This window comes from Homo sapiens, chromosome 8, assembly GCF_000001405.40.
Source record: "Homo sapiens chromosome 8, GRCh38.p14 Primary Assembly".
In the NCBI taxonomy this organism is placed as follows: Eukaryota; Metazoa; Chordata; class Mammalia; order Primates; family Hominidae; genus Homo; species Homo sapiens.
In genome coordinates, this window is record NC_000008.11 from 14,203,432 (window position 1) to 14,218,917 (window position 15,486).

Below are 15,486 nucleotides of genomic sequence, written 5' to 3' on the forward strand. Positions count from 1 at the left end.
TTCTTTTCCTTTTGATTTTTGTGCCAATAATATATAAGATTTATAATCTCTCCCACTCATATGTATTTAAATTTTTATTTCACTGGATTCAATTTAATGTGCTCCTAAATTTCATCTTTTATATAATTTTCTTGCCAGAGTTTGAGTATTTTCTGTCATCACAAGGCTGAGTCATTACAATGGAAGTGTTTGAATGAAGATGAATAGAGGTGAAGGTCACTGGAGGTGAGCACCACAATCCATTGCTAAATTAAACATGGCCTTTATAGTCAAGGACCTTATTAACTAATGAGGGCTATGGAGAAAGAATCAGATAATTAAAGCAGAATGCACTTAGTATTGATGGGGAGAATTAGAGGGCACTATTGAAACATACAGTAGGGGCATGTAAATCAGACAGGAGTTACATGGAATGAAAGTGTAAGAGACCTGTAAGAATTATCTAGGAAAGGAATTGGGGGAAAGAGTGCTCCAAAAAGAAAGAATAATATTCATAAATATATGGAGAGGGGAGACCTGTAAGAATTATCTAGGAAAGGAGTTGGGGGAAAGAGCGCTCCAAGAAGAAAGAATAATATTCATAAATATATGGAGAGGGGAGACAGCCTGGTGCATGTTGGAAATGCCAGGCATTTCCATACTGATGGAGGATAAATAACTCAGTCTCTGAATCTGGGATTGGTTTCGGACCGTCTTCGGCAAATTTTTGGACCTTTGCCCCAGCAACAGTGTGGTTTGGGAAAATGGGGCATAAAACGAAAGAAATAGATGGGGGTAATTTGTTTGTGTCATATCTGTTGCTTAGAGATGGATCTTGCTATTTGGGTTCTTCTCACTTCACTCTGAATGTTTTTTTTTTTTTCTTGCTTTTGGCTAACACCCATGTCTCCCCTTTATACCAAATACCAGCATTACCCAGAACATGGAATGCGACATTCTGTCTTTTCCCTGATTTGAGAGGCAAATTATTTGAGCAGCTCAGGTCTACTATGGGTGAATGTGAGTCCTTCCTAAGTCTTCCAAAACCATTGTTGACCTGCCTTGAAGCACGTAAGGTAAAAATCTGGTCTGTGATGGTTAATTTTAGGTGTCAACTTGATTAGATGAAGGAACACCTTGAGAGCTGGTAAAGCATTATTTCTGGGTGTGTCTGTTAGGGTGTTTCAGAGGAGATTGTGTATGAGTCTTTGAATTGACTAGAGAAAACCTCCCCTCAATATGGGTGAACACCATCCAATCATCAGCGGCGCTGGGTAGAACAAAAAGTTAGAGGAAAACCAGATCCTTTATTTTTATGCTGAAGCTGGGACACACTTATTTTCCTACCCTTGGACCTCAGAACTTCAGGGTCCCTGGCCTTTCAACTGTGAGACCTACACCAGTTCACGCTATCTTCACCAGGTTCTCAGGCATTCAGCCTCCATCTGATAGTTACGTCATTGGCTTTCCTGGTTCTGAGGCCTTCAGACTTGGACTGAGCCTTGTTACTGGAATTCCAGGTCTCCAGCTTGCAGAGATCCCATAATGGGACTTCTCAGCCTCCATATTAATAGGAACCTATATCCTCTCACCCATACGCCTGTTTGTCTGTCTATCTATTTATTATCTATCTATGCATCAAGTCTATCTATACTATTGGTTTTCTCTCTGGAGAACCCTTTAATTAAGATAAATCCACTTCTCAAAATACATGCATCAGCCTTTAATCGACTACACACAAAAGTGGTATCCTAGACTTTATTTTTTTTTTTTCACTTCTTAAAGAGAATCACTCTATAAGCAGAGTACAAAATGACAGTTGTCAAAGATTCTCTGGAGACATCAATTGAAATAGACTCCCCCTCAACATGCTAACTAGTCATTAGGCAATGTTCTCTAGGGTTTTTGTGTATTGTCAAATCTTCAGAAAGCAATGTACCTGGACCATTTTCCAAGCAATCTGCTAAAATGTTTTTCAGAAAGTTAAAATTTAATGTTATTCTGCTTTTTAATGCAGAGGTTATGTAAGAAATGTCCAATTGATACATGTTTCAGTTTTTTTATTTTTGCAAAACCACAGTCTAAACATTGCCGATGATGTCATCCACTGTTTGTTATTTAAGGATTAACCCACTACAGTTCAGGGCTGAAAGAGAAACTTTTCTCCCTAAATGATCTATTATATTTTCTTCAATCTGACAAAGCAAACTATATAATCCAATATGCAAACCTTTGTTTGGGGTTTTGTTTTGTTTTTCATCTAAGTTTCCAGGCAGCTCTGAACCAATTTTAAGTCTTAGTTGTAGACACCAGCTTAATGTGGTTGAATGGCATAATAATTTTATGTTATTTTAACTTGGACTTTAATGTTAGTTTCTTTTTAAAAATAATTATTCTATTTGATGCACTGAGATTTATAGTCTATATCAAATATTATTTGAAATTTAGGAAGATATTTTCATAAAAAACAAATTACCCAAGTTTTCTCATAAGAATCATAGGGCATTTTTCTCTATTTTACATAGAAATAATTCGAGTTCATATAGGCTAAGAAAGTTGACCAGATTTAACTAAAGAAGTTACATAATTGATATTTAAACTCGGTTCTCTGCTATGAAATTTAATGCTGTTTCCATTATATGATTATCTAATTAAACATTTCTCTACCATTTAACAAAGCAAAAAAATATATTTTGATGTACAAATAATTTTTATGTTTCTAAGTATGTGTATAAGGTCAAGTTATTAATATTAGAAAACATCATATCCTTATAGTATGATCTAAAAACAACTTTTACTCCTTTGCCATATACTATCATTACCTAGTCTGTAATGTTTAAATTATAGTGTAAGAAAACTCAGAAATTACAAGCCTTATGTTGTAAAGATAACATACGTTTTAAGTGAAGGCTATGTGTTATACATCCAGTCAATTATTTGGTACTTTCACCTGTTGCTGAATAAAATAAATGTAAACATAAATCATAATAAATAAGCACACACAATGGAGTACACACAAAACTATTCACTTCAAACATTAAATAAATCACAGAATCTCCACATTTATACAAAGAAAAATCTAAGCTGCCAACAAGGAGAGTTATAAAACATTTGAAATCCTGCTTTGCTGCTTTATTAGAGATAATTTCATCCAGTGAGATTTGAAAGCAATGCCCTGGAAATTTATGATGTGACTTTTACTAAGATGTATGTAAGTTTATAGAACGATGTTCACTAGAAACAGATTTATTCTGTTTATATAACAAGCAGTTACCTCTGGCCTGCTCTCCCTACTGTATCCTGCTATAACTGGTAAGGGTATTACCCCCTAAATTACCTGCTGTTAGGAATGGCCATGCCAGTTTATTCCTATAAATAAGGCAATCTCTCTAGCCCTATCTCTGTCATTTTAGGCAGTTGCATTCAGTATGCCCCTTCCCTAAGTTTGTTTTGTGTCTCAGATTCTTATACACATGAGAACACCTGGGAATAGACCTGGTGGCCTTCAACCCACACCAAGGCAAGCACAATGTCTAGAATGACTTATGTCACTTAGCCATGGACCCCTGAGGTTCCGTCACTGACATCTTATTTTCTGACGTTTTTGTGGAGAACTATTTAAATTTTGTGAATAGCTGCTTAATTGGCTAATTTAGTGCTCTATTTTCAAATATCAACAATAAGACCCCTTTCGATGTAAAGAATCATTTTTCAAGAAAGGGTAGAGGGTGATGGTGGCTATTCTTTTTTGCTTAAACTAGCTTGACCTTTGTAGTCTGATTCTTATAAACAGAACAAGAAATTAGCCAATTAAGCAACTTGTATTTAACTAGTTTTTTCAATTTAAATGTAACAATTTGATAAACTTTGCTGAGAATGTCTATTAACTGATAAGATAAATTAGAAGTAAATGGTCAGTTCTTTAGTTCTACTTAACATTATCATATTCTGCCATGACAGAGTAGCATTAAGATTCATTGTTTTTAGCCTCATCCATCTTATTGCAAACATATTGTAAAATACTTAGTTCAGAAAAGAAATATTTATACTCAACCTTTCTGCACTACTATGTTTATGGTTTACATTTTTCTAAATGCTAGTCTAGTCAACATTGATCTAGTTTTCTATATTTAAAGCTTAAATATCTTTTTTGTAGTGTGTTTTTTTTCAGTTTACTATGTTAAGTTATAATGAACACATTTAAAATACTGTTTCTTCTGTTTATGTAGTAGTGCTCTATTGTTAAATGAAAACTAGAGGACAAAGTATGTGTAGATTGCCAAATAAAGAATTAGTTACCCTATGTTTGAACACCTCAAGAAGGAATATTTACATTTCATTCTACCCTTCTACTACAACTACCTACTTTAGATTATAAACTCATGAAGGGCAGGGATCTTTTGAGCAAAGCTCATATCATTTTGCATAAGAAAAATATACTTGATATGCGATTTGGGGTAGATCTGATCATATGGCTACTGGAAGTGCAAACTGGCTGGTGGTTGTGATGAGCATGGTACTACTTATCCTAGAAGATTTTCATTCCTCTAAATAAGGCAGAAAATGCTGAACTGTCTTTATACACACTATGATGGACTATTAATGTTTCTTCCCTACAAACAGAAAATGAAGTTATTAAATCCAATCAACTTTCATTTACTACAAAGGTTTAAATGCCTATACTCAATGTACTTCCTACTAACCATGTTTAGCTTAACATAATAAAAACCCTTTATTGAACCCCATTAAAATGAAAGTCTGCCACTCAACCAATCAGCTCTGTTGAAAGTTTTGGATGCTAAAGTTCCATGCTGACTTCAATGGATGACAGATAATTTAAAGGCAATGCATATAATTAACAGGATTAACATCTGAAACTGTGTTTATCAGTTAGTTGAAACATTAATTGCATTGATTTGAAGTAAAAATCTGACACCGTAAGACATTCACAAGGTAGTAATTTTGGATTCTGTGTCAAGGTAATATTATTCTAAACATCCCAAATGGAAGGTTGTCTCTCTAGAGCAAGTATGGAGGAACCAAAAAGGAAAAAAGAAAAATATATAGAGCTGATATCAAAAATAATTTTGTCAACCACATTAACAATTGAAACATGAAAATACACAAAGATATGTTCCTATCAAATTGTCAAAGTGGTGTTTATGAAACAAACTCAATATTAGCAATTATAATAGAATCAGACATTTTTCTTTTTTTTTGGTGTGAAGATGGTTATTACCATTATGAAAACAACTAGAAACACTTAATTATACAGTTACTTATACTGCTATTTGTTTTTATCATAAAATTATTTTTAAAACTTGACTTAATAATTAAGTGGTAATTTATCTGAAGGAAATAATCTTATATTCACAACATGTATTATGTATAAAGATGCTAATCATAGCATTATTACTTATGCTACAGGAGTTAAGAAGAAATTAGGCAGATAGCGAGGGTGGGAGAGTACTCAGTAAGGTTTTCCTTTTACTGAAAGGTAGCCCCCAAATTATTTCCATTTCTAACAAAAAGCAGCCTGTAAAATCAAGCTGCAGACATGGACAAACAAGCTGGAAGCTCTCTTGGGTGAATGCTGGTAGCTGTGCCAATAGGAAAAGGTTACCTGGGACTTGGCATGTTCAAAATGACGCCTCCATGTTCCCATCTCTTTGCCAGCCATGTATATAGTAAGAAGCAGAAAACACGGCGCCAGCCACGTGGAAAGCCCATTTGCATATTAGTGCGGGGTGGACAGCCTTCCCAGAACGTTATGTAAACGTCACATGTTGTCCAACCAATCTGTGGACTCCATGTAAATCAGACACACAGCCTCTTCAAACCTGCCTATAAAATCTGGTGTATTCCATGGTGGGCCAGAATTCTTATTCAGAAGCCCCTCTCTCTCACCAGGGAGAGAGCTGTTCTGCTTTCTCTTTCTTTCGCCTGTTAAACTCTGTTCCTAAACTCACTCCTTGTGTGTGTTTTCCTGACCTTAATTTTCTTGGTGTGAGACAGGAACCCTGGGTATATACCCCAGACAACAATGCTGCTTCGCTTATGATAATTACAGATCAGGAGTGTGGAAAGAGTACATTTCCTATTACATAAGAAGTGCTTAATAATTTACAGAATAACCAAATAATGGAATATATGGGAATATTTAAATTATGTTTTCGAAGAATATTTAATATAGGACATGTTCATATTATATTAAGTGAAAAGTTGTGTCAGCAAATGTACATTCAATATAATATCCTTTTTATTAGCTATGCCTATTTTACATTTAAATTTATGTGACATATTTATAGAAAAAACTGGATATGTATATATCAAATTTATCAGCAGTAAGTAAACGAGAGCTGGGATCAAAGTTACGTTGGTATTTAAATATTTCTGAATTCCATATTTTCATAAAAATATAACCTGTATGATTAAGTAAAATATAACCTGTATGATTAAGTAAAATATAATTAGCTCATTTTATCTTATGAATTAGTTAAAATAATTCATTTTGAGCTGAATAAATACATTTCTCATTTATTTACTTCTATGTGAAATGAGTGCTGTGTCTTCAAACTAACTGTAAAGCCTTCAGATTCTTATGTTTGATACAACTTGTTATCTACACTATTAAGTTTTGTTTGTTTGTTTGTTTCTCTTTCTTTGAGACAGGGTCTCACTCTGTCGCCCAGACTGGAACGCAGTTGTGTGATCCTGGCTCACAGCAACCTCCGCCTACCAGGCTCAAGCAATTCTCCTGCCTCAGCCTCCCAAGTAGCTGGGAATACAGGTGCACACTACTACCGTCTAGCTAATTTTTGCATTTTTAGTAGGGAAAGGGTTTTACAATGTTGGCCAGGCTGGTCTCGAACTCCTGACCTGAAGTGATCCACCTGCCTCGGCCTCCCAAAGTGCTGGGATTACAAGGGTGAGCCACCATGCCTGGCCATTATTAACACTGTTTTAAAAACATCATTACCATTTTCCCAAACCCTTGGAATTACCCTTAATTGTTCCCTTTCTAGTACACTTAAAATAGTATTATGCAACTTGAACTTTTTTTTTTTTTTAAACAGAGTTTCACTCTTGTTGCCCAGACTGGAGTGCAATGGTGCGATCTCGGCTCACCACAACCCCTGTCTCCCAGGTTCAAGAGATTCTCATGCCTCAGCCTCCTGAGTAGCTGGGATGACAGGCATGCGTCACCACTCTCTGCTAAATTTTTTGTATTTTTTTAGTAGAGACGGGGTTTCATCATGTTGGCCAAGCTGTTCTTGATATCCTGACCTCAGGTGATCCGCTTGCCTCGGCCTCCCAAAGTGCTAGGATTACAGGCGTGAGCCACTGCACCCAGCCCAATTATTTCTAATTTATTTAAAAAAATATTTATTTGTGGTCACTATTTGCCAAAGATTGTTCTTTACAGCAACCAGTTAGATAACTGCATCATAACTAAATGCCTAGACCATTGCAATAATCATAACGGCTTTTACTGTATTCAGTATTTTGCAAGCCAGTCAAAGACCATTCTTGATTGCATTTGGCAAGACTCTGCATTGGAAATGAGAGAAACCCACTTCAAGCTATATTATTAGCAACAACAACAAATAGCTGGGAGATTCTTGTTTCCCAAAGGGAATGTGCTAGTAATCCATTTATCGTCTTTCATCTCTAAATCCATGATTTTGCCTGCCTCCCTAAAAATGGACCCTGACCCTTTCAAAAGTTTTTCCTTGCCAGCTGGCATGATGCTTTGTCAGTAGAGGGCGCTGGAGGGACACTGCAGGAGTAAAGGTGTTTTGCTTGCAGGACTCCTGTGTCTGCTTTCTGTGCTCCTGGGCTGTGCAGTCATCCCAGTGTCCGGGTACTGCAGATGGGTGTCTCCTCCACTCATGAACTCTACAGCCCATGAAGCTTCTCTGCCTTCAGGTTGCCGCAGCACCCAGGCGCTACCAGTTTCCCCTGACACCGTCCATACTTCTCCACTTATGATGTCCCAGCAAAGGACCTCAGGCGAGACATCTTATGAACAGATTTCTCTAGTATCTACCTAAAGGTTATCAATCAGTTCTCACACTGCTGTAAAGAAACACCTGAGACTGGGTAATTTATGAAGAAAAGCTTTAACTGACTCACAGTTCCCCAGGCTTAAAAGGAAGCATTTTAGAGAGGCCTCAGGAAACTTAAAATCATGGCAGGAGCTGAAGGGCAGGGAAGCACGTCTTACCACAATTAAGCAGGAGAGAGAGAGAGAGAGAGAGTAAAAAGGGAAGTGCTACACACTTTTAAACCATCACATCTCGTGAGAACTCACTCACTATCACAAGAACAGCCGGGGGAAATCTGCCCCACAATCCAATCACCTCCCACCAGGCCCCTTCTCCAATTCAACATGAGATTTGGGTGGGGACACAAATCCAAATCATATCAGATTTGTTTTTTGCAAGATCAAGAGGACAGATGTCCAGAAAGTACCACAGAAGTGGTACCACAACTTCTCTGCCACCCAATGAGCCACAGCTGTGCCATACCCAGAAAGTTCTGAATCTCAGTCCTGAGGTGGAAGAATGGGAACCCCTTCTTTGAATGATCTGTCCCATCCCTAAGATAGTGACTGTTCCTCTATCTGCTATTCTGTATGATTTTGAGTTCTCTCTTCTTCTTGATAGTCAAGAGTCCTCGATCTTGTAGCAGACGATTACTGAGGCTTGGCATCTCCCAGCCATTCACATTGTAGTAAGGAGCAATCCAGAACTAGCATTCCTAGGATCTTTCACCAAGAAGCAGAAGGTGACCCACACTGGCTCCTCCCTTTGCTGGATGTACCAGCAGAGATTATGTGGAAAGTCCAAGAGAAAAAGGCTAGTGAAAAACCTACCAGGGGAGCAACTCTCTTTCCTATGGCCACGGCATCTCCAACGCCTTACCCATAGATACTGGGTGAAACAAAAAAGTTTTTTGTTTTCTCACGTAACACCAGAAGGCATCAAGCAGGAGCTTTAATAGATGATCCCCCTGCCTCTTCAAAGAGAACAACCAACAAAGAATGCAAAAGACAAAAAAAAAAAAAAAAAAAAAAAGTTGCCAGAGCTCAGAAAGCCAAAAAGTTGTTAGAACATCATCCCACAAAGTAGGCCATAGCCTACACATTAAACCTAAACCAGGTGGCGTGACTGATAAAATAGAAGATTTCAATAGGATCAAGAGTCTCTTAAGAAAATATCCACAATGTCCAAGATGCAATTTAAAATTTGAAAATTACTCATCATAGCAAGAAGAAGGGAAATCACAACTTGGAAGAGAAAAGACAAACAACTGAAGCCAACATTGAGATGAATTAGATGTAGGAATGAAGGACAAGAATTTTTAAAAAGCAATAATGAAACTGTTTCAATAAGCAACTACAAATTTTTCTAAAACATATTAAAATAGAAAATCTAGGCAAAAAATAGAGTTTATTTAAAAATACCAAATGAAACTTATCAAACTAAAAAAATATAATAATGGAAATAAAAACAAAATGATTCTGGATGGGATTAATAGTAGAATGGAAATAACAGGAGATGTAATCAATGAGCATCAAGACAGATCAATAGGATTACTCAGTACAACAAAAAAGAAAACTAAAAAAGTAAATGGATTCTCAGGGACTGTGGGACAACAGCAAAAGATATAATATTTGTGTAATCAAAATTACAGAAGGAGAGGAGTAAGAAGGAGGGGATAAAAAATATTCAAGGAAAGAATAGACAAAATCTTTCCAACTTGTGGTAAGACATAAACTGTAGATTTAAGAAGCTGAAAGAGAATAAACTCAAGGAAATGCAGAAGACACATACCTAAATTTCTGAAAAGTAAAGACACGCACACAAAAATTCCTGAAAGCAATTAAAGAGAAAAGCATGCATTACCTTTAGGGGAACAACAATTTGTATGGCAGCCAATTTTTCATCAGAAACCATGGAGACCAGAAAAAAATTGGCCCATTTTCCAAGCACACACAAAAAAGGAACTATTTACCTCAATTTCTATATTTGGTAAAACTATCCTTCAGGAACTAAAGGAAAATAAACACCTTCTTATACAAAGAAAAAATAAGAGAATATGTTATCAGTAGATCTCGCCTTAAAGCATAATTAAAGGAAACTTTCCAAACAGATAAGCTATGCTATTAGCACGCTTTAAATTTCATAAAGGAAAATAAAACAACAAAAAACAAAAAAAAATGGTAAACGTAGAACAAATATAATAGACCTCATGAACCTTTTAAATCATATCTGTCAGTTTAAAAATATCAAGTTTGATATAATGCTCCATATGTATGAATAAAATACTTAAGACTTAAATATTTGAAGATATTTAAATATTTAAGAAATGTAAAAGATCATGGGACCTAAATGAAAGCAAAGTTTCAAGACTTCACTTGAAGTAAAAAAGTTATGTCAGTTGTGAAAAACGTAATATATGTACATACTAGTTTTATAATATCATTTATGTAGCTACTTTACCCTTAAGGTGGAAAAACTTAACTCCCAGCTGCTTAATTAGGGCGTGTTCAACATGTTCATAGCAAGTTCAACATGTTAACTTTTTTCAAGTAGTACAGTATTTAAAGAGAGCCAAAAAGAGTGACTTTACAGTGGAGAAATCTAACAAACGTTAACCAGGTGATCAAAGCTACCACCAAGTATTAATTCATGTTGATTGCATGTGCCCTTGATATGATGTGATGATAATATTGTGCTACTTCTGTCCTCCCCAGAACACATTACTTCAGTGTAATTATCAGAAAAATGTCAGACAAATCCCAATCGAAGGGCAGTCTACAAAACACAAACCAGTAATTCTCAAAACTGTCAAGGTCATCAAAATCAAAGAAAGTCTGTGCAACTATCATAACCAAGAGGAACAGTAGAGACAAGACTACTAAATGTAGTGTGATATCTTCCATGGGATACCGGAACAGAAAAAGAACACTAACGTAAAACCTCAGGAAATTTGAATATACTATGATCTTAAGCTAATATCAATATTGGTCCATCAATAGTGACAAATGTACCACACCAATATAAAATGTTAATCATAGGAAAAACTGGAACTTTCTGTACTAGTTTTACTATAAGTCTGCAAATGCAAAACTGATTTAAAATAAAAGTGTATTTATAAATAGAGGTTAACAGAATGGATTTAAAAATGGTTCAGCTATATTGTTTATGAGAAAATAATTTCAAACATAACAATATAGGTATATTGAAAGTATGGAAAATGTGTACCATGCTAACAGTAATTTTTTTAAAAAAAGCAGGAATATCTATGAGTATTAGATAATATTATAAAGCAAAGAATATTACCCGGACAAAAAAAAGGACATTATATAATTATTTTAGAAATCCACTAAGATGACATAGAAATCATAAGCAGGTATGCACCAAATAACAAATCTTCACAATATATGAAGTAAAAATGATAGAGTTGAGGAGAAAAAATGGATAAATCCACAAATTATAGCTGGATACTTCAATACCACACTTGCAGCAATTAAGATGATTAGGGGAAAGAAAATTAGCAAGACAGAGAAATACTGAAGAATATTATCAAACAATGGGACCTCATTCGCACATATAGAGCACTTCACTAAACAAAATTCAGACACACATTATTTTCAAGTGACCATAGAACCTTCATCAAATAAAGCACTTCCTGGTCCTAACAAGAACCTAAACAAGTTTAAATAGTTTAAAGACACAAAATATGTTTCTTGACTATACTGAATCAAACTAGAAATCAATATTAGAAAGGTAGCAGGAAAATTTTCAAACACTTGAAAACTAAATAATACATTTCTAAACTATCTATAGACAAAGAAGTCTCAAAAGTTAAATAAATACATACATATGTGTATATATACATATTTAAAAATCTAAGAAATAAAAATGAAAATATCACATCAGCACTAAAGCAGTGATAACAGACAAACTTACAGCATCCACTTGCCCTAGCAAAGAGGAGAGTAGTCAAATGAATAATCTAAGTTCTTACTTCTAGGAAGTAGGAAAGAAGGTAAACAGAATCCCCCAAAAGGCAGAAAGAAAAAAAAAGAAGTCAATGAAATTTAAAGCAGAAAAAATAGAGAAAAATCAATAAATACAAAAGCTAATTGTTTGAAAAAAATTTAAGCCATTCAAGATTTACAAAGATGAAAAAAGAGAGAAGGCACAAAATCACCAATATCACAAAAGAAAGAGACCATATCACTATAGATAGTTTAATCTTTAGAATAATAAGATATCATAAATAAGTGTATGCTCACAAATTTGTACATATAAAAATAAAACAACTCAAAAGACTACATATTACCAAAAGCAAAATAAGATAAAACAAACGAAAAAGACCCATAACCTTAAATAAGAGTGTGTAATTAAAAATATCCCAAAAAGAAAATACCTTGGCCCAGATGGTGCCGGGTGCAACCCGCAGACACTGGACGAAAGACAGATGAAGGAATGCACTCAGACACAGGTACCCAGTGAAAGAGTGGGCTAGGGGACCAGGCCCCTCACAGACCCTGAGGAGGGTGCTGTAAAAAGGCAGCAGCTGCAGCCTCAACAAACCCGCCCTCCAGGCATTTATTCAGCACAGATTTAATGACAAAGGCTTTGAATCAACACATTTGTGGAAAATTAACATGATCGCCCTCCCCTGAGAGAGTAGCCTTGCAGGTAATGATTAAAGGCCAGATTCCCAGTCCTAAGTAAACTAACTTATCTAGATCAGTTTCTTTACATCCCCTTGTTATCTAACCTAAGCTCTTAGGAGAATTCAGCTGCCTTCAGCCAAATTTTCTTTCGAAGATTTGCAAACCCCTGGACTTCCGAGAAGTTTTGTGTCCTTTTCCTATACTTTCTCCTACCACCCTGACTGATCTCCTACAAGATGGTATTATATCGTCTCCTCCGAATCACAGGAGAAGGCACTTCCTAATTTGTCTTATGAGGCCAGCGTTACTCGGATAACAAATCTACACAAAGACAGTGAAAACAAAACAAGTCACAAACAAACTTCCTAGAGTCCAACATTTCTCATGAACTTAGATGCAAAAAGTTTTCAACAACGTATTAGGAAACAAAATCTAACATATCAAAAGAATCTTGCTCCATGACTTAGCGGGATTTATTCTAGGTATGCCAGGGTGGTTCAACTTTCAAAAACCAATTAACAAAGACAAATTATACAATCACATTAACGGATCCAGAAAAATACTTAATGATGTTCAACACCCATTTGTGATAAAAACTCTCAGCAAACTAGAAATAGAAGAAATCTTAAAAAAAACAAAAACCTACACCTGTCATCAGAATGGTGAAAGACTAAATGCTTTTCTCAAAATCAGTAACAAGAAAAGCATGTTATCTTGCAGCACTCTGAGTCATGTAAGTCCTAACATTGTATTCAGCAAAATAAGGCAAGGAAAAGTCTGGGGGTAGGAGCAAAAAGATGTAGCACAAGAGAAACTGTAGCAGAACAGTTATGTATACTGACGTATTGGTAGTGACCCAAGGCCACATATGTGGTGAAATTGTATAAAGCTCTATAGAGGATGGGCACGGTGGCTCACGCCTGTAATCCCAGCACTTTGGGAGGCCGAGGTGGGTGGATCACGAGGTCAGGGGATAGAGACCATCCTGCCTAACACAGTTAAACCCTGTCTATACTAAAAATACGCACACACACAAAAAGTTAGCCGGCATGGTGGCAGGCACCTGTAGTCCTAGCTATTTGGGAGGCTGAGGCAGGAGAATGGCGTGAACCTGGGAGGCAGAGGTTGCAGTGAGCCGAGATTGCACCACTGCACTCCAGCCTGGGGATCAGAGTGAGACTCCATCTCAAAAAAAAAAAAAAAAAAAAAAGCTCTATAGATACACACACACACCCACACGCACACATACAAATGGATACATGTATAACTGGTTAAATCTAAAGAAACGCCTATTGTCAATCTCCTGGCATAGATATTGTATGGTATAGTTACATAAGAGATGACATTGTAAGACGTGGGGTGAAAGGTGTGGGGAACCTCTTTGCACACTTATATGGCACTTCCCGTGAATCAATAATTTCAGAATAAAAGCTAATGAGTTCACCTCATAAACAAAAAAAGCACATGATGATTTTGAGAGATGAAGCAAAAACACTTGAGAACATTTAAATTCAACTAAAGTTTTTTTTTTTTTTTTTTTTTTTGAGACAGAGTCTCTGTCACCCAGGCTGGAGTGCAGCGGTGTGATCTCGGCTCACTGCAACGTCTCACTCCTGCGTTCAAGCAATTCTCCTGCCTCAGCCTCCAAAGTAGCTGCGATTACAGGTGAACACCACCACGCCCAGCTAATTTTTTGTATTTTTGGTAGAGACAAGGTTTCACCATGTTGGCCAGGCTCGTCTTGAACTCCTGACTTCAAGTGATCCACCCGCCTCAGCCTCCCAAAGTGCTGGGATTACAGGTGTGAGCCACCACGCCCGGCCAACTAAAGATTTTTTTAAAGTGCAAAATAGGAAAAGAAGGAAGTGTTCTCAATCTGGTAACAGAGTCTGCAAAAAATACAGAGAAAACATTTTACCAAAGGGTAAAATATTGAAAAATTTCCCCCAAGCCTAGGAACAAGAAAGGATATCTACTTGACCACTCTACTTAACTTTGAACTGGTCCCCCTAGGCAGTATAATAAGGCAAAGCATTTAAAATAGTAAGAGATATAAATAAAATTACTTCTTTCAGATGATATAATCTTGTTCATAGAAAGTAAAGAACATACAAATTATTAAAATGTATGTGTATTTCTAACACAAAGTCAATATAACACTTTTGCATTTTCCTGTATTAGCAACAATTAGAAAATGAAATGTTAAAAGGTATACCAGTTCCAAAAACATAAATAAGAAAAACTCTAGGAAGAAAATTAATGAAAGATGTTCATGTTCTTTTTCAGAAAGTATTAAGTTATTGCTGAAAGAAAAAACTGACTTAAACAATTAGGGGGGACATTATCTGTTCCCAGATTAGAAAACTCAATCTTGTAAAGACAAAAGTTTCTGAAAAATTGCTTAATATCAGGTTGATGCAAAAGTAATTGCAGTTTTGCATTGTTTAAATTTTGTGTGACAGTGGAATGCATTCTTAAATGTGTTTATGTTAAATGACATTTTAATGTGCATTTCTCACTTTATTTTTTCTTGCTAATGACTTGTTACTTGCTGTTTATTTTATATTTATTTTAGATTATGGAAATGATGTTAGAGAGCAAACTCCGGCCATTTTCTTATTTGAGTTCAAAATGTGTCGTAAAGCAGCAGAGACAACTCACAACATCAACAACGCATTTGGTCCAGGAACCGTTAATGAATGTACAGTGTTGTGGTGGTCCAAGAAGTTTTGCCAAAGCAATGAGAACCTTGGCGATGAGGACTTTGGAGGCCAGCCATTGAAGTCTACGACCACCAATTGAGTGCAGTC

At 36.0% G+C, this 15,486-nt stretch overlaps 1 protein-coding gene across 4 annotated transcripts in view, besides 3 other annotated features; it reads right to left on the reverse strand.

The window, feature by feature from the left end:
* Positions 1 to 15,486, reverse strand: part of SGCZ (sarcoglycan zeta) — a 1,153,587-nt gene that overhangs the window by 118,587 nt on the left and 1,019,514 nt on the right. The window lies entirely within an intron of this gene.
* Positions 1,413 to 1,582: an enhancer, noted in NCBI's record as "experimental_101891 CRE fragment used in MPRA reporter constructs". NCBI's record gives its function as "activates a minimal promoter by MPRAs in K562 erythroleukemia cells, with activity observed for both the introgressed and non-introgressed 8:14062438 variant alleles {active_cell/tissue: K562}" and the evidence as "EXISTENCE:reporter gene assay evidence [ECO:0000049][PMID:34662402]".
* Positions 5,355 to 5,524: an enhancer, noted in NCBI's record as "experimental_101912 CRE fragment used in MPRA reporter constructs". NCBI's record gives its function as "activates a minimal promoter by MPRAs in K562 erythroleukemia cells, with activity observed for both the introgressed and non-introgressed 8:14066380 variant alleles {active_cell/tissue: K562}" and the evidence as "EXISTENCE:reporter gene assay evidence [ECO:0000049][PMID:34662402]".
* Positions 7,161 to 7,330: an enhancer, noted in NCBI's record as "experimental_101932 CRE fragment used in MPRA reporter constructs". NCBI's record gives its function as "activates a minimal promoter by MPRAs in K562 erythroleukemia cells, with activity observed for both the introgressed and non-introgressed 8:14068186 variant alleles {active_cell/tissue: K562}" and the evidence as "EXISTENCE:reporter gene assay evidence [ECO:0000049][PMID:34662402]".